A 23,755-nucleotide genomic window follows, 5' to 3' on the forward strand; every position below is an offset into this window, starting at 1 on the left:
CATTTGTAAATATTTGAAGAAATGTCTACTTAAGGTTTTTAAGTGGCCATTTGGCCATTCTTAAATGAGGTTGTTTGTCTGTTGTTGTTGAATTATAAGAGTTTTCTTCTCTCTCACTCTCTTTTTTTTTTTTTTTTTTTTTTTTTTGAGACAGAATCTTGCTCTGTCACCCACAATAGAGTACAGTGGTGTGCACACGGCTCGCTGTAGCCTCGGCTTGCTGGGCTCAAGAGATCATCTGCCTCTGCCTTCTATGTATCTGGCACCACAGGCTCACAGCACCCCGTCCAGCTAATTTCTTTAAATTTTTTGTAGAGATTGGGTCTCACCATGTTTCCCAGGCTAGTCTTGAACTCCTGGGCTCAAGCAATCCTCCCTCCTCAGCCTCCCAAAGTTCTGGGATTACAGACATTAGCCACCGTGTCCAACCTAAGAGTTCTTTATATGTTCTGGATACTAGACTCTTGAGCAGAAAAAATACACAAACTGTTTTTCCCTCTGTTCTCATACCACAGCAACAGTCAACACAGAACACTTCTGTAATCAATGCAAGCAATCTATTCTGCAGCAGGCACAAGCTGGGTATCTTCCAGTTCAATTCAGATACTATCTACCTGGACATAGTTTCAGATCCCACAGGTTGAGGGTTCAGTCCCACAAGATCATCCCCACCCTCCCACCAGTCACAAGTCCAGGCCTCTGGAACTGCTGACCAGTTACTTCAAGTTGGGGTTCCCATGACCTTTGTTGGGTTTGATTAATTCATTAGGACTGCCCACAGAACTCAGGGAAATACTTATGTTTACTGGTTTATTACAAAGGATAATGACACAAATAAACAGCCAGATGAAGAGATACATAGGGCAAGGTCTGGAAGGGTCCTGAGCACAGAAACTTCTATCCCCCCCGAGTTCTGGTATGCCACCCTCCCAGGACACAGATGAGTTTGGATTTTTTTTGTTTTTGTTTTTGTATTTTTCTGTAGACCTGCACTGTAGACATGGGTGAGTTTTTGTTTACCTTCTTGTGTTTAGCTCTCTGAAAGCTCCCTAAACCCTGTCTTCTTGGGCTTTATGGAGACTTCATTGGATAGGCATAACTGAAGCGTGGACAACCTGTAAAATTGTGATTAGAAAAAAGGATATGATCAAGGCCGGCCACAGTGGCTCACGCCTGTAACCCCAGCACTTTGGGAGGCCAAGGTGGGCAGATCACCCGAGGTCAGGAGTTCGAGACCAGCCTAACCAATTTGGTGAATCCCCATCTCTACTAAAAATACAAAAATTAGCCAGGCGTGGTGGCAGGCACCTGTAGTCCCAGCTACTCGGGAGGCTGAGGCAGTAGAATTGCTTGAGCCCAGGAGGCGAAGGTTGTAGTGAGCTGAAACCGCGCCAGTGCACTCCAGCCTGGGTGACAGAGCTAGACTCTGTCTCAAAAAAGAAAAAGAAAAAAGGATATGATCTAATGCTGATAGACTGGGGAAACCCAGTAAGGCGTGTCTGTTCAGATTCTTCTTGGCCTCTCTGTGCAGCATTCCTTCACCCAGGATATGGGCAGGACCCTGTCTGGAATGAGGGTCTCGTGATCTACAATCCAACAAGATAGGTCAGTTTTTTGTTTATTTTTTGTTTTTGAGACAGCCTTAAGAGTAGCTGGGACTACAGATGTGTGCTACCATGCCTGGCTAAGTTTTTTAGAGATGGGGTCTCACTGTGTTGCCCAGGCTGGTCTTGAACTCCAAGGCTCAGGGCACCTGCCTGCCTCGGCCTCCCATAATGCTGGGATTACAGGCGTAACCATCATGCCCAGTCAGATTATTTCCTTATAGCCAGTGCTTATATGGAAAGGAGGGGGAATTAGAGTAATATTTTTAGGTTTTATGACTGGTTTGGGGGAAAGGAGGTGCTGGTTTCTTTGACCGCCTTGTGGAAGAGAGATTCTAGTTTCTATGTGGCCTCAGGGAAGAATGAGGTGCCAGAGACAGGAGGGCTGGAGAAGGTGAGAGAGAGAGTTTTGCTTCTGAGGCCTAAACCATCCAACCTTATAACAAATGACTGTAACAAGGGTGAGGGGGTTTATAAGCCAGGAACTATGGACAAAAACCTATATATATATCATAATATCACAACCCTTATCAGATATATGATTTGCAAGTGTTTTCTCCCACTTCTGTGGGTTGTCTTTTCACTTTCTTACTAAGTGTCCTTTGATGCACAAAGATTTTTAATTTCGATGAAGTCCAACTTATTTATTTTTGTCTTTGGTTGCTTGTGCTTTTGATGTCATAATTAAGAAGCTGTTGCCTAATCTAAAGCCATAAACATTTTTACCTATGTTTCTCTCTACGGTTTATAAATTAGTCTCTAATATTTAGGTATTTGATGAATTTTTAATTAATTTTTATATATGGTGTGTAGTAGAGACTCAAATTCATTCCTTTGCATGTAATATCCAATTAGCTCAGCACCATTTGTTGAGAAGATCATTTTTTCTCCATTGAATGGTCCTTACACCCTTGTGAGAAATTAGTTGATTACAGATGTATGGGATAACTTCTGGACTCTCAAGTTTATTCCATCATACTGATTTTTTATTTTAACTTCATATAAATCACTTTTATATTATTTTATTTGGTATTTTATCTTCACAGCTTCCAAAATTATTTATCATTTATTTAACTGATTGAAAGTGAGCCAGAAGCAAATTTGCTGTCATAAAAGTTTACTAAAAATCAAGAGAAATGGCTTCGTAGCACCATTACTGCAATGTTACAATTACATACGTTGTTATTAGAATCATTTCTAAAGTTATAAATTTATGAAGCTTTGAGACTCCATTTCAATATATCAGAAAAGGAAATCATGTTAATAAAAAATCATTAGACGCAAAATAATATAAAATATAAATGAATACATGAAGTAACAATTTTTAACTCTTTTACAAACTTATGTACAATAAGATTAAAATAAGACAGTTGTGCATTCAAGTTTTCCTGTGGATCTGCTCATCTTCATTGCAAGGGTTGCTAGGTAATAACGGCACAGGGATATGGTTATTCTGAATATTTTTCTCACTGTCAAAGACAGTTGTTAGGGACAAATAGACACCAAAAGAGACAAATAGGGATCCCTTATTGGCTCCTTACATTTTGTTGGATAAAGCACAATTTCCTTGCAATGCTTCCCCATCCTTCTCTCCCAAATATTGTTCTCTTTCTCTCTCTCTCTCTTTTTTTTTTTTTTTTCTGAGACAGAGTCTTGCTCTTGTCGCCCAGGCTGGAGTGCAACGGCACGATCTCAGCTTACTGCAACCTCCACCTCCTGGGTTCAAGCGATTCTCCTGCCTCAGCCTCCCAAGTAGCTGGGATTACAGGTGCCTGCTACCACGCCTGGCTAATTTTTGCATTTTGAGTACAGACGGGGTTTTGCCATGTTGGCCAGGCTGGTCTCAAACTCCTGACCACAGGTGATCCGCCCGGCTCGGCCTCCCAAAGTGCTGGGATTACAGGCGTGAGCCACCACGCCCGGCCCTCTCTCTTTCTTTTTTTTTTTTTTTTTTTTGAGAGACAGGATCTTGTTATGTTGCCCAGGCTGGCCTTGAACACCTGTGTTCAAGCCATCCTCCCTCCTCAACCTCCCAAGCAGCTAGAACTATGAGCGTGTGCCACGGTTCGCAGCTTTATCATTCTGTTTTGTCACAACTCTCTTATATAGTTAATATACCTTTGGGAGAAGCATCACACACATACAAAATGTAGCAAACCTTGACCTGATTGGCATTTCTGAGATGAAGAGACCCACGAGAGCCAATAGATTTTCCTCTCCCCAACATTCAAGCAACTTCCTTCCAATTGTTTGCTAATTATGATATGTGAAGTTTGTGGGTGTTTCTAAATTAGGGACTTCCTTAAAAGAGTTTGCGTTTCCAGAAGATTTGCTACTTCAGACATCAACCCATTATTAGGGTGTCTTGTTCACAGTCCTCCTGCCCATTTTAAGATCCTTTATTAAAGTAGCTTGAAGGTGACCATGCATGGTCTATACCTCCATCCCCACCCATAACAATCTTCTTTTGTACAAACATAAAAACATGCTTCTGCTGATTAAAACATACAGCGCATGATTGGATATTAATGCTTTGGAGAGATGGTTTGGGGTCACAATCACCCAGATACTCTCATTAGGAGGTCCTATAGATCATGGCCTGATGGAAGAGTTTGTGTTACTTGAAAGTAAACGTCAAGGGAAAAGAATAGAAAAATCTATCACTAACACCACTGTTAACTCAAATGAATCAAATAATAAAGGATGTTGATATAAAAACATTTGATCCTCTCACCATGCTTTTTAGGATCTACCTTCTGCTCTCATCCTACCTAAAAGTCATAGAAAAACGTTGACACTTTAGGATGCTCCCAGGTCCTGCAGTTCTGTTATTCCCAGTAGGGGACAATGTTGCATTCAAAACTGCACCAATTGCAGCACGTCCCTGGCCAGACCTGTGTTCCTTCTCTATTTTCAAGACATAGATCTTTTTAAAGAGTCGTATATAAATATTTTTTCTGTAAACTCTAAGAAAGTGAGAGTTGAAGAATAAAAACAGAGAAGACTTGAAGGACTGTTTTTTATCCACTGTCTTCAGCAGAGATATTTCATCGTGTGTGACATTCCTGGAAGTTGCTATCAAAGTCCCAAAGTACGAAATGCGTCTCGTAAGTCATCAACCTCATACAGGGGCTGTAGAGAAAGAGAGAAGCAAATTGAGTGAATGGCTTCAAAACGAGGTTGGGGGTCGGTGGGGCCGGAGAGTCTTCTAAACTGAGTGGATGGCTTTGTAACATGTTGGAAGAAAGTAAATTGGGAAAGAGTTTTTTTGGGTTTTTTGTTTGTTTGTTTAAAAAAAAAAAAAAAAAAAAAAAAAAAGGAGAAAAGAATTCTGACCAGGAAGGAAACGCAACCCTGGGGAGAGACAGAAATTTAAAGATGTGAAACAACAAAAGAAAGAAAAGGGAGGGAAAAGGAACCTTAGCAGAGGGCTCTGAATGGTGAAACAGCAGAAGAAAAAGCTGATGTGGAGGAGAAATAAAGTTTTCATCAGATGAAAACTGAGAGTGATTGAACAATAAGAAAATATAAGAAATATACGAAACTCCAAAAAAGACTGTAGAGAAAGAAAGAAAATTTAAAAAGCGAGGAAGCCCCTTACCAAAAGGATGCGCCGAAGCTGTCTGGAGAGACGAACTGAATTTTCATGCAGCCCTTCCCAGGCTTTGAAAGTTCTTTCGTGGTTTTCTACAAAAGTATTCCAGCAGTAAAAATAATCTTCAAAAAAAAAAAAAGGAAAAAAAGGCGGGGATATGGGGGTAGAAGACAGTTCAGGTTCCAAATCGAGGGGAAAGAAGCAACCCTGGCCCCATTTTCTCATTTCCTCGGGGCCTTGTCTCTGAGCCATTCACTCTTTTCTCTGCTTCTAATCTTTAATTTCGGCTCCAGAGGTGAACCAGAATCCCCGCCCACTTCTTCCCCTCGAGCTTCCCCACTAACTCATTCATTCCGCATCGCAATCCCGAATGCGGGCTGCTGCACTGCGCCTGCGCGGAAGGCCCTTTCGCACCTTTGAAGGTCATGATGGCTATTTGCACCCCGGCGCGGTGCAGCCGCCGCAGCCCCTCGGGCTCAGCCTTGCGGTCCTCACAGAAGTAGAGGCGCGCGGTGAAGATCCTCAGACTGAGGTTGGGGTTCCCTCGCAGAAAGTCGGCCACATGTCGGGCACAGTCGTAGCAGGGGCTCCAGGAGGTGAACCAGGTGACGCGGTAGCAGCGGCCAGGGTCTAGGTCCCAGTCCGAGATGTAGCGGAGGAAGAGCAATTCCACGTGGCAGCCGTTCTGGAGAGACAGAGAGGACCACGCTAAAATTCACTGACTTTTATTGCGGCTCTGGTAGCCTTAGTCATTGTCTCCTGCAATGATCTTTGGGGATGCTTGCAGCTATTGTCCTTGTGTTACAGAGAGGCTAAGCAACTTGCTCAAAAGAGCACACCAGTAGGTAGAGCTGAACCCTTGGCAGCACTAGTCCTGCAGAGTGAAGGAAGGCTATGGGTTTTTGTGGAATGAGGAAGACGAAGTGCGCTGAGTTGGGAGGAAGCAGCATCACACTACCTCACCGAAGATTTAATTTGTGTTTATGAAGTTGCTTTTTGCACCTTTTGAGAAGGAAAATGGCTAGAAGTGCCTGTTGATGTAACATTGTGGAAATATACCTGGACCACTAGGTGGAGGCAGGACAGTTTATGAGGACCATTTGGGAGGATCTGAAAAGGGGAAATAGATTTTGGTAAAGCAGACAGATGGGTATTGTAAGAGAAGTAATAGGCACTGCCATGAGAAGTAAATGAAAGTGCTTGATAAAATCAAAGCCTTCTGAAATAGAATGTGTCATGTCACCGAATAGGAAGGAGATTGGGATGTATTCAATACAAATGTAGGCAAAGAAAATTGCATGGTAATATAACCATCAAACAACGAGCCAGACGATGACCTTCCACCCCACGGATGCTTCCCTGAGATTCCACCAAGCCCAGACGTCACAGCGTGTTAGGAGAGAGGAGATACCCGTGGGCAGAAGTTTATGTAAACCCATCTGGATTTTGGTGAAGAAGTCTCTTGGAAATGTAATTCTCTCGGGTAGCCGAAAGATCAATTTAATTAATCATCAGCCGAGGCTTCTCTGAGTTTTCTGGGGATCACCATGTTGAATGTATTCACTGGCCTACGACCCATGTGAGTAGGAGGGAAAAGAAATCATTTGGAAGACAGAATTGAGCCACCGTTAATTTTTTCCCAAATTCTTCTTCCTTAATTTTCAAAAATGCTTAAGACACAATTTGTTTTTCACATTTAAAATTTTTGCTTGGACAAGCTGATAATATTCTCCCATATAAAAATGCTTTTAGCTTAATTAATCTCAAAGGCAATTCAGATGCTGAGGAAAGCTGGTAAACAGTTTGGGAGCAGTTGTTCTTGGCACTGAAGGAAGGAGTGGTATTAGGGTGCCCAGCATTACTGGGGAGGAATTAAATCACATATTTTGGGCCATGTCTAATATGGGTGCATGGACATGGAAAAAGAAATAAAAAAAAGGATTTGAGGAATGTGATAGAGACACAAATGCCAAAAAAGGATGGAAGTAATACCATCAGCAGGTGGCTCTAAAAGCACTCACAGTTGACCATTAAACTGCTTGCAAAGCCGACTTTAATTGATACCTTATTGCGAAGATAACCAAAGTCCAGTGAAAAGGATGTAGCACTGTCACGCCTCTTCACTACGTAGCACAGGTAGGTCTCACGCCGACCCTTAGCCCAGCGGACATTTTTGAATTGGTAAAGAAACTTCCTCCGGTTCATCAAGAGGCTGTGGGTGAGAGGAGGGAGAGAAAATGCAAGAGTACAGTTTATAATCTGGTCACTCTGGATTTTCCTTCAGCTTTTTAAGGAAGTCATTACTTGGGCTAAACCAAAGAAGATGCTCTGACTTCCTCTGCTGGCTGCCTGAGCCCTCCTGAGCCCTGCTGAGCCTGGAATCCATCATAAACTCCTTTTCCTGCTTATATTTAAGGCCAATTGAGAGATACTCATCAAGGACCCCAAACCCTTACCCACAAGACAGTCACCTCCTGCCACTGTCTTCTAGATGCTGATGACTTGGGATTACAATTAAATTTGTTCTTCAACAAGAAAACGAAACAAAAAATAAAATAAACTTGTTCCTCAGTCCCATAATTGTATATTCAGATTTCCCCTCCAGTCTTTACCTAAGTGTCCAACTTGTACCTCAAACTCAAAATGATCAAAACAATATTCCTCAACTGCCCCCTGTCCTAAACTGCCACTCCTCCCGACTTTGCCACCTCAGGTAAGCAGCCTAGCAGCCTGGAACCATCCTTGACTCATTTCTTATTCCTCAGTCCTCATATTTAATTAATCATCTAAATGTGTTGATTCAAACCCCCCAATATTTCTTGAATTTGTACCTTCCCTGTTTGCTCTTCTCTGCTTCGGTCCAAGCCCTCATCTTCTTCCTCCTTATCTGTTGTGCTGGCCTTTTAACCGGTCTGTCTGCCTCCAGTCCCTCCAAAATAACATTCCCCACACTGTCACCACCATGATCTCACAAAAACCAGGTGCACCATGCCATTCCCATGCTGAAGACCCCCTGATGGTTCTCTTCTGCCTGCAGAATAAACTCCAAACTCTTTAATGTGGTGTTTAGGCCACTTTTTACAGTTGGATCTTGATCTAAATTTCTTTTTTTAAATTTTTTTTTTTTTGTTACGGTCTCACTTTGTCGCCCAGGCTGAAGTATACTGGCATGATCTTGGCTTACTGTAGCCTCAACCTCCCAGGCTCAGGCAGATCTGCCAGGCTCCGCGGATCCTCCTGCCTCAGCCTCCTGAGTAGCTGGGATTACAGGCGCCCACCATCATGCCCAGGTAATGTTTGTATTTTTAATAGAGACGGGGTTTCACCATCTTGGCCAGGCTGGCCTTGGACTCCTGACCTCGGGTGTTCTGCCCGCCTTGGCTTCCCAAAGTGCTGGGATTACAGGCGTGAGCCACTGCACCGGCCTATTTTTTAATGTATAAGAGCAATACCTGGCTGGGCGCAGTGGCTCACACCTGTTTTTTAATGTATAAGAGCAATACTTGGCCGGGCGCAGTGGCCTACATCTGTAATCCCAGCACTTTGGGAGGCTGAGGCAGGTGGATCCTCTGAGGTCAGGAGTTTGAGACCAGCCTGGCCAACATGGTGAAACCCCATCTCTACTAAAAATACAAACATTAGCCGAGTGTGGTGGTGGGCGCCTGTAATCCCATCTACCCGGGAGGCTGAGGCGACAGCTTTGCTTGAACCCAGGAGGTGGAGGTTGCAGTGAGCTATGGTCATGCCATTCCACTCCAGCATGGGCAACAAGACCAAAACTCCATCTCAAAAAAAAAAAAAAAAAAAAAAAAAGAAAGAGTAATACTTGATCATTGTCAAACTTGAATACTATGGAAAAATAGAAGAGCTCTAAATTTTAAAATATTAAAGATTTTTTAAATCTCAAATATCATAGTGTCTAATAATAATAATTAGACTTAGTGTCTAATGACAATGACTGTTAAGATTCTTGTGTTTATTCCTCTAGTCTTTCTACAGGCACATATTTACATGATTTGGATTATACTGATTGCATGTGTGATTTTGTACTCTGCTGCTTTTTTAACTAGTCAAAATGATCTAAATATCTTGCTATGTTGTTCCCACATAATGACTGATTTCTCCTCCTCTTTGTTTTCTGGCTCCTAGCACAGTGTCTTGCATATCATAAGCACTAATTTGAATAGCATTTGTGGAAATACTCTGGTAACCCAAGTTTCCTTAAAGAAATCAAGAGTCCCCATTGCAGCTGCAGACAGCAACACAAGCTGTACAGCATGGTTGATATGAAAGCACAAGTGATGCCTGGATTTTGTCCCTAGTCTTTTCCAGAAATGCATTTATCCAATTTGTGGAGCTAGTGCTGTCACCTAATGGTACGGGGCAGAAGTGCAGAGAATTTGCGAAGTAAAGGGCTCAGGAATTTGAATAACGTTTGCTGGCAAGAGAATTGAAAGTTTTCTTACACATTATTTTTTCTTACATTGAGGTATAATTTACATACAGTAAACTCCACCCATTTAAGATGCATAATTCTACGAATATTTTTGGATGTAAACACCCCAAACTGCTACCACAGTCAGGATACAGAACCTGAATCACCACCCTCACCCCACCAGAGCTTCTTCCCTCTTTGCAGTCCTTCCCCTCCCCACAGGACAACCACTGATTTGCTTTCTTTTTTTCCCATTTTTGTGGAGAATGGAGTTTCACTGTGTTGCCCAGGCTGGTCTTGAACTCCTGAGTTCTAGCAATCTTCCCACGTGGCCTCTCAAAGTGCTGGGATTACAGGTGTGAGCCTCTATGCCTGCCCTGATTTGCTTTCTGTAACTATAAGTTACTTTCATTTTCTAGAATTTCGTATGGCATACATTATCTCCTCCTTCATGTCTGACTCTTTCATTTAGCGTCATGACTTTGGGATTCATCCCCAAGTAGCTTCTTTGTACTGCAGGGTGGTATTCCATTGCATGGATATAGCACATTTTGTTTATTTGTTCACTTGTTGATGGATATTTGGATAGTCTCTACTTTGGGGTTTTGTGAATAAAGGTACTATGAACATTCACGTACCAGTCTTTGTGTGGATATACATTGAGAATTGATATTTTAATAATGTAGTGCAGGTGACAGACCCTGACTTTAAAAGTTAAATACCAAAATATCAGCCTAACTAAGTAGCTCATCTAGGACAACAGCTCTTTGTAGTTGTTTCCATTTATTTTTAATTTTTCTTCTTATTTTTTTGAGGCAAGGTCTGGTCCTGTCACCCAGGCTGGAGTGCAGTGGCGCAAGCACTGCTCAGTGCAGCCTTGACCTCCTGGGCTCCAACGATTCTCCTGCCTCAGCCCCCTAGTAGCTGGGACCACAGGCACATGCCACCATGCCCGGCTAATTTTTGTTATAGAAACAGCGTTTTGCCATGTTGCTCAGGCTGGTCTTGAACTCCAGGGCTCAAGCGATCCACCCACCTCAGCCTCCCAGAGTGCTGGGATTACAGGCGTGAGCCACCACACCTGGCTGTCTGTTTCACTTTAAATGTCTCCCCTCACGTACATGAAGCTTACTGGAAAGCACTTTAAACTTTAGGCAGCAAACTAGATTTATTGCCAGTATACACATTACATAAGGTAAAAATTAGCCATATTATTTTAAAATTTAAAATGCATATTTTAATCTAAATGGATCCTAGGCCAGATGCAGTGGCTCATGACTGTATCCCAACACTTTGGGAGGCCAAGGCAGGAGGATTGCTTGAGCCCAGGAGTTCAAGACTGCAGAAAGCTATGATTGCACCACTGCACTCCAGCCTGGGTAACAGGGTGAGATTGTCTTTTAAAAAATCAAAAACATAAAAAACATAAAATGAATACTAAAAAAGATCCAATAATAATTAGCTTTATTTTAAAAGGATAATAATTTTTATGGTAATTACCATAGTACCAACCACCATTACTATTACTATATTAGCATATAATAACCCTTTGTATATATAAGCTCAACACATAATAGGTGCTTAATAAGTACAGAAGAAAAGAAATTCTCTCTTTGAGGCCCAGTGTTAAACAGATTAAGCATCATCTCTTACCAATAAATCCCTCTTATATTAACTTACCCTCCTGGGCTGTGTAGATGAGAAAGGCAGAGGAATCTACATCTTTTTACATGCACCTTGGTTGGCGGGGTGTGTGTTTGTGTGTGTGTGTGTGTGTGTGTGTGTGTGTGTGTGTGTGTGTGTGGAGAGAGAGAGAGCCTTATCATAAGGAAGAAAAAGTGTCCTGGAAGTATAGATAAGAAGGATGTGGCATAGATAAAGGACTTTGGGTGGATTTTTGGGTCCTACTCTACATGAAAATACAATAAGCCTACACTGTTTCTGTCACATGTTACCAGTCAGAGTGAAATGAATTGCGTGATCCTGACCTGCTAGTTAACTTTGTTGATCCATTACTTCCCTTCTCTGGTTAGGGGCCTGTTTCCAGCTCCCTGTTCTCGTCATTTCTGTCCTGAGTAGGAAGGACTTTACCGAGGGAGTGTTTCAGGCTTGCAGGCTGACAGCTGCTCTGGACAGCTGTGCTCCCTGAGGCAGAACCCTAGCTGCATCCCCAGCCGTGCAAACCAGAAACAAGCGGGTTAAAAATAATCCTGACCAAGTCATTTTGCCATCACTAATGAGCTCTACAGATACTGTCCTCCTTAATGATAATATATTTCCCTTCTGTCCTGTTGAATTTCATCTTTTCTCCTTTTCTGTCTTTCTCTGAATTTCAACTGCTGATTTTACCTTTGCTTTCCATTTTACTTTGAACAAGTATTTCCAATGGACCCTTCACAAGGACCTATAGCTCAGACTTGTTTTCAAAATCTCAGTGTAAACTGAGGAGACATTTGACATTGTCTGACCTCAAGAAAATTTTCTGAAGAACATTAAATCCTCCATTAAAAATCTTTATTCTGTATATTGGATGTGATGGCTCATGTCTATAATTCCAGCACTTTAGGAGGCCCAGGCAGGAGGATCGCTTGGGCCAGGACTTAGAGACCAGCCTCGGCTGGGCTAAGACCCTGTCTCTACAAAAAAATATATTTTTAAAAAATCTTTATTCTGTAATGTAAGTTCTTTATAAAGGAGTTAAATTGAGGTAAAGTATAAGGATTAGGTGTTATTCTCATACATCCATAGTAATCATAAATGTAGGAATAGAATAAGTTCTATGACAATAACCTATCAAAAACTGCACATAAAGACATTATGAGGACCTTAACCAAATTCACACCTAAGAGGTAAGTTAAGCTACGTCTGAACAAATGGAAAGATTAGTTAATAGTAAAAGTGCCATTAACTGCCTAACAATTGGGCCTTTAACATTAAATAACTTGCTTGAATGAATTTGTCTCCTTATAATGGACACAATCATAGTGACTTTCAAGCAATTAATTTAGAATGCTTGGCATTTCTAAAATTACAAATTTTCTTACTATAGCTAAATTATTTCAGTAACGCCTCCCTAGGAAAGTGTGTCTTCAAGTTGTTTTACTGTTGAATATTTACAAAATTATTACGAAAATTAGCACTACCGTTTTTAGTACAGTACTGCTATTACCTTTTCATGATTTGAGTCTCTAAAGATTTGCTATGTTAATATTATTACCATAAATTAGTTTCAACCATGGTACAAATCTCAGGACGAATCAGTACATTGTACGCACTACTTCTTTTGCCACATGAAAAAGAGGGAAATCAAGAGAAGTCTGAAACAGAAAGAATTGGGCTGACAGCGTATAAGATCTGAATAGAAGAAAAGGAGACAGATCAAAAAATATATATGCATATTGATCAAGCTGATCTTATCAGTCAGACAGTTACATGAGAGAAAGGGATAGCTACCAGTCTCATTACTCAGATTTGCTCTGAGAGGAAGGCCAGTGCAATCACCCACGAGAAGACTGCCTCTTTACCTGTCCATAGTGGTGTCCAGAGTGTCTTCTTGCCTCCCTGCAAGTCTCAGGCCAGAAAAATCTCACTTCAATTAATGATGGTTCTCTGTCTTAGTCTGACAGTGCATTGGCCCTTCACATTCAAATTTGAGCTTGCCCTTTTGGGCTCCTCCCCTGACAGCATCACCCCCACCAGGTACCCCAACGGCCTTGCTCCTGATTTGGATCCAGTGAAGATGGGTGGGTGGGGCTGTCATAGGCAGAGTCACACAGGTTAAACCATTGAGGGCAGCTCTGCTTTAATGTTTAGGTTCCTTTGGGGCTGCTGCTCTAAAAGCCCAGTCCATGCTCCATAGCTAGCAAAGATCAGGAGGCAGTAACAGTAGACACTTCAATTATAATCATGATAACACAAAATAAAAGCACAATGAGAATAGTAATATTTATGTAAATACCTTAAAGAGCATTTAAATAGCTTCTTGGGTTATTGTGTTGAAGAGCCTCAGATAGCCTCTAATTCCCCCATATTCCCACAGTCTCTCTGAACCTCAGTACAGACAGGCACTAGCAGCTCCTGCTTTGCAGTTAAGCAAATGAACTCAGTTATATAGAATTTAGAACACAAAAATTTTGCCTCCCAAACCATGGATTTTTTTCTTTCTGATTGCATTACAAGAATTGCTTGAAGACTAGATATTTACACCAAAGAGTGATTTTTGCATGAGCCATCTTTTTTAGAAAAAAAAAAAATCCTTAATTTGGAGTCAGAAGCAGCAGCAGTCCCCCAAAATACAAAAATGCTTGTTTCACCAGACAGATTCAGTGTCTAACTGGCTGCACTGAATTTGGAAAACAGGCTAAGATCTTCAAATAAAAGACTTTAATTTTGTGCTCTCATAGAACTTGGTCTATTAAAGATTTTATTTCTCTCTCCTACTGTAGCCCATATGCATTCTATTTATTCACTGAGTAGATACTTCATGCCTACTGTTAATGGAAACTATGCCAGGTGCTAGGGATGCAATGCTAAGCAATGCAGCTAGGGTCTCTGCTCTCTTCCTGCCTCAAGCCTTTGATACCATCTATACCTTGATGATTTTCAAATCAATAGCCCTAGCTTGGACCATGTATTCGTCTGTTCTCACACTGCTAATAAAGACATGCCTGAGACTGGGTAATTTATAAAGGAAAGAGGTTTAGTTGACTCACAGTTCCACATGGCTGGGGAGGCCTCACAATCATGGCAGAAGAGCAAGGGACATCTTACATGGTGGTAGGCAAGAGAGAGCTCACGCAGGGGGAAATCCCTTTATAAAACCATCAGATCTTGTGAGACTTATTCACTATCATGAGAACAGCATGGGAAAGACCCACCCCCATTGTTCAACTACCTCCCACTGGGTCCCTCCCATGACATGTGGGAATTGTGGGAACTACAATTCAAGATGAGATTTGGGTGGGGACACAGGCAAATCTATCAGACCACTTCTTGAAACTCAAGACAAGTGTATCCAGCTTCCCTCTCAGAATCTCCATTTGGATGTCTGAGCACCTCCAGCCTGTCTAAAACAGAACCCCTGTTCTCTGCCTTACCTACTCTTCTTGCCGTCTTTCCCATCTCAATAAACAGCAGTATTCTTCCAATTGCTTGGCAAAACCTGGGCAGAGTGTCTCTCAGCTCCTCTCTTTCTTTTAAATTCCATGCACACTCCATTAGCAAATCCTGTTATCTCTGCTTCCAGAATATAGCCACAAACTGACCACTTCTCACTACCTCCAGGTCCAAGCAACCTGGATTATTGCATTTTGCTTCCCAACTGGCCTTCCTGCCTCCCCCTTCTTCGATTACAGTCTGTTCTCCACATGGCAACTAGAGTATTCCTTCTGGAATATTTAAGGTCATGTCACTCCCCTGTCATAACCCTCCATGGCTTCCCATTCTCTCAGTATAGGCCAGCAGCCTGAGATGGCCCACAAGCCCCTCTACCGTCTGCTCTGCTTCACCCCTCTGGCTGCATCTCCTTCCACTCTCTCCCTTGCTCACGCAAAGAGCGCACACTCCTTCCTCTGCCCTTGAGGTCCCTCTGCTGAAATGTTATTTTTTGTGTATGGTTGTGGCTTACACCATCATATATTTTATGTCCTTATTCAAATACTGTCCGGTATTTGAGATTTGTCCTAGTCACCATATCTAAAATGTCAACAAAATCTCACCATTCTGACACTCCCTTGCCTCCATCCCCTAAATTATTTTTCTCTTTAGCACTTATCACTTAAAATACACTCCTAAGTAAACTAAAGACAAGTAAAATAATCTGTTTAAATTATTTTTTAATTAGCCATGAGATTCAAAATAATAATTATAATTATTTCTAATAATTATGTAATAATAATAATTATTATTTTGAGGAGGGTCTCTCTCTGTCACCCAGGCTGCACTACAGTGACATGAACATGGCTCACTGCAGGCCTTGACCTCCTGGGCTCAAGTGACACTCCTGCCTCAGCCTCCCGAGGAGCTGAGACTACAGGAATGTGCCACCACACCCAGCTCATTTTTGTATTTTTCTTTAGAGACGAGGCCTTTCCATGTTGACCAGGCTGGTGTCGAACTCCTGGGGTCAAGTGATCTGCCCATATCAGCCTTCCAAAGTGCTGGGATTACAGGCGTGAGCCACTGCACCTGGCCTTGTCTAAATTATTATTGCTGAAAAAATTCCTCAGGGCACCAGCAAGATAGTAGACGGTAGTTGCCTTTGGCACTCTCAGTTTTATAGGACAGTTGGTCAAGGAGCAGAATGGAGACTCCTAATTCATCTGCAGCGTCAACTGGAAGGTGCAGGCATTTGAAATCTAATCCCTTTAAGTTGTATCCTCAGATGCGAGTTGGGCTTTTATCATATTTTCACCCATTTGTCAAGAGAATAACACACAGGTACACACAATTGGGTTGTTTTATTGTTTTAAATAAAAACGGCACATATTTAAGGTGCATAACATGGTGTTTTGTTATCTGTAATGAAATGATTACTACAGTCAAGCTAATTAACTTATCCATCTCCTCACATAGTAACCTTGTATGGATATGTGTGTGTGGTGACCGCATCTGAAATCTACTGTCTTAGAAAATTTCCAGTATACAATTTTTTTTTTTTTTCGAGACAAGAGTCTCACTCTGTTGCCTAGGCTGGTGTGCAGTGGCATGATCTTGGCTCACTGCAGCGTTGACCTCCCGGGCTCAAACAATCCTCCCACCTCAGCCTCCCGAGTAGCTGGGACCACAGCTGCACACTACCACACTGGGCTAATTTTTTTGTTTGTTTTTTTGTACAGGCAGGATCTCACTATGTTGCTCAGTTAGGTCTTGAACTCCTGGGCTCAAACAATGCTCCCATCTCAGCCAAAGTGCTGTGATTACAGGTGTGAGCCACTGTGCCTGGCCCAATACAATCTTTTTTAACTGTAGTCATCATGCTGTACAATAGAGCTCTAGACTTATTAATCCTGTATAACTGCAACTTTGTACCATTTGAGCAACATCTTCCCATTTTCCCTACCTCCCCATGCCTGCTAACCACCATTTTACTTTCTTTCTTTCTTATTTTATTTTTTTTTTTTTTTTGAGACGGAGTCTCACTCTGTTGCCCAGGCTGGAGTGCAATGGTGTGATCTCGGCTCACTGCAACCTCCGCCTCCTGGGTTCAAAGGATTCTCCTGCCTCAGCCTCCCAATTAGCTGGAATTCCAAGCATGCACCACCACGCCCAGCTGATTTTTGTATTTTTAGTAGAGACGGGGGTTTCACCATGTTGGCCAGGCTGGTCTCGAACTCCTGGCCTCAAGTGATCCACCCACCTCGGCCTCCCAAAGTGCTGAGATTACAGGCGTGAGCCACTGTGGCTGGCTCACCATTTTACTTTCTGCTTCTATGTGTTCAACTTTTTAAGATTCCACATATAAGTGAGATTATGCAGTATTTTTCTTTCTGTGTCTGGCTTATTTCACCAAGCATAATGTCCTCCAGATTTATCAATGTTGTTGCAAATGGCAAGATCTCCTTTCTTAAGGCAGAATGATATTCTTATTCTGATATATATATACGTGCCACATTTTCTTGATCCATTCATCTGTCGACAGACACGTAGGTTGTCTCCATATCTTGGCTATTGTGAATAGCGCAGCAGTGGACATGGAGTTATCTCTTCAAGGCACTGATTTTGTTTTCTTTGGGTATTTACCCAGAAGCAGGATTGCTCAATATGGTAGTTCTGTATTAAAATTTTTGAGGATCATATAGTAGTTCTAGTTTTAGTTTTTTTTTTTTGGAGAAACCTCCATACTGTTCCCTATAACGGCTGTGCCAATTTACATTCCCACCAACAGTGTACAAAGGTTCCTTTCGCTCCACATTCTCACCAACGCTTGTTTTCTTTTGTCTTTATGGTAATAGCCATTCTAACAGGTGTGAGGTTAAGAGATAGGAAAAAATAAAAATGTAAAATGCAAACCCAATAATAGGGGCCAGGTGTGGTGGCTCACATCTGTAATCCCAGCACTTTGGAAGGCCGAGGCAGGCAGATCACCTGAGGTCAGGAGTTCGAGATCAGCCTGGCCAACATGGTGAAACCCCGTCTCTACTGAAAAAAAAAAATACAAAAATAAGCCAGTTGTGGTGGCAGGCAACTGTAATCCCAGCTACTCGGGAGGCTGAGGCAGGAGAATTGCTTGAACCCGGGAGGTGGAGGTTGCAGTGAGCAGAGATCGTGCCACTGCACTCCAGCCTGGGAGACAGAGTGAGACTCCGTCTTAAAAAAAAAAAAAAAGAAAAAGAAAGCATATAATAGGAAGAACTGACTATTTTTTCTTCCACCTTCACATACCACTCAACACAGCCCTTCTGACACCAGATGTGTGCCGGTCTTTTCCCATACACCAAGCAGTTTTCCAGTGGACATCAACTGGGTGTTCTATAATTTAATTCAATTCTGGCATTATCTACCTGGAGATAGCATCAGACCTCACAGATTGTGGGTCAGTCCCACAAGATGGACCCCACTTCAGATGCCAATCTCAAATTTCAGGTTGTGACCTGTACTTCTGATCAACTGGCTTAGGGGTTCCTACAACCCATGCCTTGGGTTCCATTAATTTGCTAAGCTGGCTTAGCAAACTCGGGGAAACACTTACTTAACTTTTAGCAGTTTATTATGCTAATAAAGGATATAATAAAGCATACAAGCCAGGTGTGGTGGTGCATGCCTGTAATCCCAGCACTCCGGAAGGCCAAGGTGGGCAGATCACTTCGGGCCAGGAGTTTGAGACCAGTCTGGCCAGCATGATGAAACTTCCATCTCTACTAAAAAAACACAAAAATTAGTTGGGCATGGTGGCTCACACCTATAGTCCCAGCTACTCAGGATGCTGAAGCATGAGAATCGCTTGAACTCAGGAGGCAGAGGTTGCAGTAGCTGAGATCGCACCACTGCACTCCAGCCTGGGTGACAGAGCGAGATTCTGTCTCAAAAAAAAAAAAAGTTACGTATGAACAGCTCGATGAAAGTACAGAGGGTAAGAACGGGAGGGGTCTGAGCACAGAAGCTTCTGTCCCCTGGAGTTGGGGTGTGCCACCCTCCTGCTACACAGATATATTTACCAACTCAGAAGCTCTTTGAACTCCATACTTCAGGGATTTTTATGGAGACTTGATCATGTAGGCACGATTAATTATTTACTCTATTCCCAGCCCCTCTCGTCTCTCGGGAGAATGGGGAGTGGGGCTGAAAATTCCAAGCTTCTAGTCATGACTTGGTCTTTCTGGGGACTGGCACCTCTCCTAGAGCCTACCAGGAGTCATCTCATTAGAACAAAACAAACTCCTGTCATCCAGAAATTCCAAGCTATTCGAAAGCTCTGTGTCAGATGCTCTTATCACTCAGGAAATTCTCAGGGCTTTAGGAAATCTGTGCCAGGAACCAGGGGCAGAGACCAAATATATATTATTCTTATTATTTCACAGAGATGATATCTCACTGTGATTTTGATTTGTATTTCCCTCATGATTACCGTGTTAAGCACATTTTCATACACTTGTTGGACAATTGTATGTCTTCTTTTGAGAAATGTCTATTCAGGTCCTCTGTCCATTTTTAATTGGGTTATTTATGTGAGAATAAATATGATTTAAAAGCTGTTCGTGGACCAGGCGCGGTGGCTCACGCCTATAATCTCAGCACTTTGGGAGGCTGAGGTGGGCAGATCACTTGAGGTCAGGAGTTCGAGACCAGCCTGGCCAACATGGTGAAACCTCATCTCTACTAAACATACAAAAATTAGCTGGGTGTGGTGGCGCATACCTGTAATCCCAGTTACTCGAGAGGCTGCGGCAGAATTGCTTGAACCCAGGAGGCGGAGGTTGCAGTATGCTGAGATCACACCATTATACTCCAGCCTGGGCGACAAGAGTGAAACTCCATCTCAAAAAAATTTTAAAAAGCTGTTGGAACCCCAGAAACACTGTAAGCCTTGAGAGAGATGTGACTGTGATCTGAGTCACATATGGTTGCAACATCTGCTTCTCAAGTTATAGACTAACCCACTTCCTTATTTTTCTTGTCCTGTACAGTAACTAGAGAAAATTAAATGACCTCAAGGACAAAAACCTCCTGCCTTGTTAATTAATGACCCTTATCATAGATTAACTTCTCCTTTGTCGTCTTGCTTTGCCTAGACCAGATGACAGAAAACATATGACTATTACAACATCTGCAAAAGATGCTATATGTACCCTTCCCAAAAAGAAACACTGCCTATAATCAATCAAATTGTTATAACTATGCACCAACCTTGTATGAAAAATGCTGTAAGTGTGCATAAACTCCTGTGTCTCTGCCTATATAAATGATACTTTAACTTCCCTAGTTCAGAACACTGACTCCATTTCCTTAGAGTTGGTGTTTCTGAATGGACTGTCTTCAAACTTTGTCCTTGAATAAACTTTATTTAAATTAGATTCTGACCCTTTTGATTATTTTAGGTTGACATTTTTTTTTGGTACTAAGTTGTATGAATTCCTTATATATTTTGGATATTAAACCCCTGTCTACCTTTTTTTCCTTTTTGAAACAGGGTCTCGCTCTGTCACCCAGGCTGGAGTCCAGTGATGCAATCACAGCTCACTGCAGCCTTGACCTCCCAGGCTCAAACAATCCTCCTGCCTCAGCCTCCCGAGTAGCTGGGACTACAGACACAAGCCACCATGCCCAGATGATTTTTATACTTTTTTTGTAGGAATAGAGGCCTCACTTTGTTGCCCAGGCTGACCTTAAACTCCTTGGCTCAAGTGATCCTCCTGCCTCAGCTTCCCAAAGTTCTGGGATTATATGGCATTAGCCACTGCACCTGGCCGGACATTAACCCCTTCATCAGATATATGATTAGCAAATATTTTCTTCTAACCTATAGGTTGCCTTTTCATGTTGATGATTGTTTTCTTTGCTGTGTAGAAGCTTTTCAGTTTGATTTAGTCCCACTTTTTATTTATGCTTTTATTGCCTATTCTTTCGGTGTCATAGCCAAAAACATCATTGCCAAGGCCAACGTCAAGAAGCTGCCCATTCCCACTCCCATTTTCTTCTAGTAGTTTTACGGTTTCAGGCCTTATTTAAGTCCTTAATCCATTTTAGTTGATTTTTGTGTATGGTGTAAGATAAGGGTCCAATTTCATTCTTTTGCATGTGGATATCCAGTTTTCCTAACACAATTTATTGAAGAGACTATCCTTTCCCTACTGTGTATTCTTGGTACCCCTGTTGAAAATTAGTTGACTTGTGGGGTGTGGTGGCTCACGTCTGTATTTCCAACACTTTGGGAGGCCGAGGTGGGTGGATCACTTGAGGTCAGGAGTTCAAGACCAGCTTGGCCAACATGGTGAAACCCTGTCTCTACTAAAAATACAAAAATTAGTCAGGTGTGGTGGCTCATGCCTGTAATACCAGCTACTTGGGAGGCTGAGGCAGGAGAATCACTGAACCTGGGAGGTGGAGGTTGCAGTGAGCTGAGATCATGCCACTGCACTCCAGGCCGGGCAACAGAGACTCTGTCTCAAACACATACACACACACACACACACAAAGAAAATTAGTTGACTTTGTATGCTGGAGTTTATTAGGGAGTTTTCTATTCTCTTAGTCTACATGTCTGTTTTTATGCCAGTACCATACAGTTTTGACTACCATAGTTTTGTGCTATAATTTGAAATCAGAAAGTATGCCTGTAACTTTGTCCTTCTTTCTCAAGATTGATTTGTGTATTCAGGGTCTTTTGTTCCACACAAATTTTAGAATTGTTTATTTCTTTGAAAAATGGAATTTTGATGGGAATTGTGTTTAATCATTTAATCTCTATGTCCCTTTATTTAGTATAAACTTTTTTTTTTTTTTGAAGGAGTGGAGTGCAGGCTGGAGTGCAGTGGCATGATCATGGCTCACTACAGCCTCGATTTCCGAGGTTCAGGTGATCCTCCCACCTCAGCCTCCTGAGTAGCTGGGACTACAGGTATGTGCCACCATGCCCAGCTAATTTTTGTATTTCTTGTAGAGATGGGGTTTTGCCATGTTGCTCAGGCTGGTCTCGAACTCCTGGGCTCATATGATCTGTCTGCCTTGGCCTCCCAAAGTGTTGCGATTATAGGCGTGAGCCACTGTGCCAGGCCAATATAGACATTTTAACAATATTAACTCTTCTAATCCATGAACACAGGATATCCTTCCACTTATTTGTCGTCTTCTTCAACTTCTTTCATCAATGTTTTATAAGTTTCAGTGTATATATCTCTTACCTCCTTGGTTAAGTTTATTCTTAACTATTGTATTCTTTTTGATGCTATCATAAATGAAATTAGTTTCTTGATTTCCTTTTCGGGTAGATATTTGTTCTTGTAAATAAATGCAACTACTTTTTGTATGTTGGCTTTTTAATCCTGCAACTTTACTGAATTTATTAGTTCTAATTGTTTTTTTGTGTGTGGACTCCTTAGTTTTCTACATACAGAATTATGTCATCTACAAAGAGAAATAATTTTACTTCTTCCTCTCAAATTTGGATGCCTCTTATTTTTCTTGTGTGATTGTTCTTGCTAGCACTTCCAGCATTATGTTGAATAGAAGTGGCAACAGTGGGCATCCTCATCTTGTACAAGATCTTAGAGAAAAAGTTTTCAGCTTTTCCATTAATTTTGATGTTAGCTGTGTGCTTTTCATAAATGGCTGTTATTGTGCCAAGGAATTTCCTTCTATACCTATTTTGATGCGTTTTTTTTTTCTCTGCCATGAATGAGTATTGAAGTTTGTCAAATGCTTCTGCATCTCTTGACATGATCATGTGGTTTTTAATATGACATAGCACATTGATTGATTTGTATGTGTTAAACCACTCCAAAGGATAAATCCCACTTAGTTATGGTGTAGAATCTTTCTGATGTGTTGTTGAATTTGGTTTGTTACTACTTTATTGAGGATTTTTGTATCTATCACATATTTCTTTTTCCTTTTTTTTCTTTTCTTTTCTTTTTTTTTTTTTTTGAAACAGAGTCTTGCTCTGTCACCCAGGCTGGAGTGCAATGGCGGGATCTCAGCTCACTGCAACCTCTGCCTCCCGGGTTCAAGCAATTCTCCTGCCTCAACCTCCTGAGTAGCTGGGATTACAGGCGCCCGCCACCAAGCCAGGCTAATTTTTGCATTTTAGTAATGATGGGGTTTCACCATGTTAGTCAGGCTGGTCTCCAACTTCTGACCTCAAGTGATCCACCCACCTCAGCCTCCCAAAATGCTGGGATTACAGGCACGAACCACCACACTCAGCCAATTTTTTTGTATTTTCAGTAGAGACGGGGTTTCACCATGTTGGCCAGCCTGGTCTCAAACTCTTGACCTCAGGTGATCTGCCCACCTCGACCTCTCAAAGTGCTAGGATAACAAGGCGTGAGCCAGCACGCCCAGCCTATCACATATTTCTTAATGGCACCTCCTTTAAACACACACACTCACATCCTTACTGAAACTGAAATTATTTTTTAAAGCCCAATAGCTTCCCTGACAAGGGCCCTCTTTCTTCCTGCTCAGCGTCTGACTGGGGAGTAATCCCATTCTCTACACAAAAAGTCATTATCTAACAAGTTCAGCCAACAGCTAGAAAGCAGAAAAGCTGGGACTGAGATTTGAAAGCATCAGCCTTACTCCAAAGCCCATGCAATACTGTCAAGCTGGTAAAATCAATCCTACAGACCTTAATCTATTTGACCATATCAATTTAGAAATCTTCATCAGAGCTACAGAGAAAGATCCCCCTGCCGCCGCCACATAACTATATCATTTAGAATTGGTATATGTCAGGCAAACTCAATAAATGGCTTATGCAAGAAAGACTTTGTCTTCCACCCAAAAATGTAGACAGTTGACTTAGCAAGTATTAAATCTAAATCTAATTGAAACATGGACCTGTACTTCCTTGGAGCTCCTTGCTTTATCAAAAGAGGCTCTGTTGGCAGAATTATCTGTGGATATTTGTTTATTCTATTTTATAAAATATATTTGATATAGTGTTGGCAAAACCTAATAAACACA

The 23,755-nt window shown here is 41.9% G+C and overlaps 1 protein-coding gene across 3 annotated transcripts; it reads right to left on the minus strand.

Moving 5' to 3' along the window:
- AICDA (activation induced cytidine deaminase) lies at nt 2,569–13,258 on the minus strand. 3 transcript variants are annotated; one of them, NM_001330343.2, is made up of 5 exons: nt 13,159–13,258; nt 7,264–7,411; nt 5,614–5,884; nt 5,206–5,291; nt 2,569–4,736 (listed from the first exon to the last, which is right to left on the minus strand). In NM_001330343.2, the coding sequence occupies exons 1-5, from the start codon at nt 13,164–13,166 to the stop codon at nt 4,683–4,685; spliced, it is 567 nt and encodes a 188-aa protein (NP_001317272.1). In that variant the 5' UTR covers nt 13,167–13,258; the 3' UTR covers nt 2,569–4,682. The 3 variants fall into 3 exon arrangements, with proteins under 3 accessions (NP_001317272.1, NP_065712.1, NP_001397899.1); NM_020661.4 differs by having other exon boundaries at nt 5,206–5,321; NM_001410970.1 differs by lacking the exon at nt 5,206–5,291.

The sequence above is a fragment of the Homo sapiens genome, chromosome 12 (genome assembly GCF_000001405.40).
Source record: "Homo sapiens chromosome 12, GRCh38.p14 Primary Assembly".
NCBI lineage: Eukaryota > Metazoa > Chordata > Mammalia > Primates > Hominidae > Homo > Homo sapiens.

Excerpts from the sequence above, each read along its gene's own strand:
- AICDA (NM_020661.4), bottom strand. Across the intron at positions 5,885-7,263 it reads TTGGTTATCTTCGCAATAAG|AACGGCTGCCACGTGGAATT; the intron begins GTATCAATTAAA and ends CTGTCTCTCCAG. Across the intron at positions 4,737-5,205 it reads AGCTTCGGCGCATCCTTTTG|CCCCTGTATGAGGTTGATGA; the intron begins GTAAGGGGCTTC and ends CTTTCTCTACAG.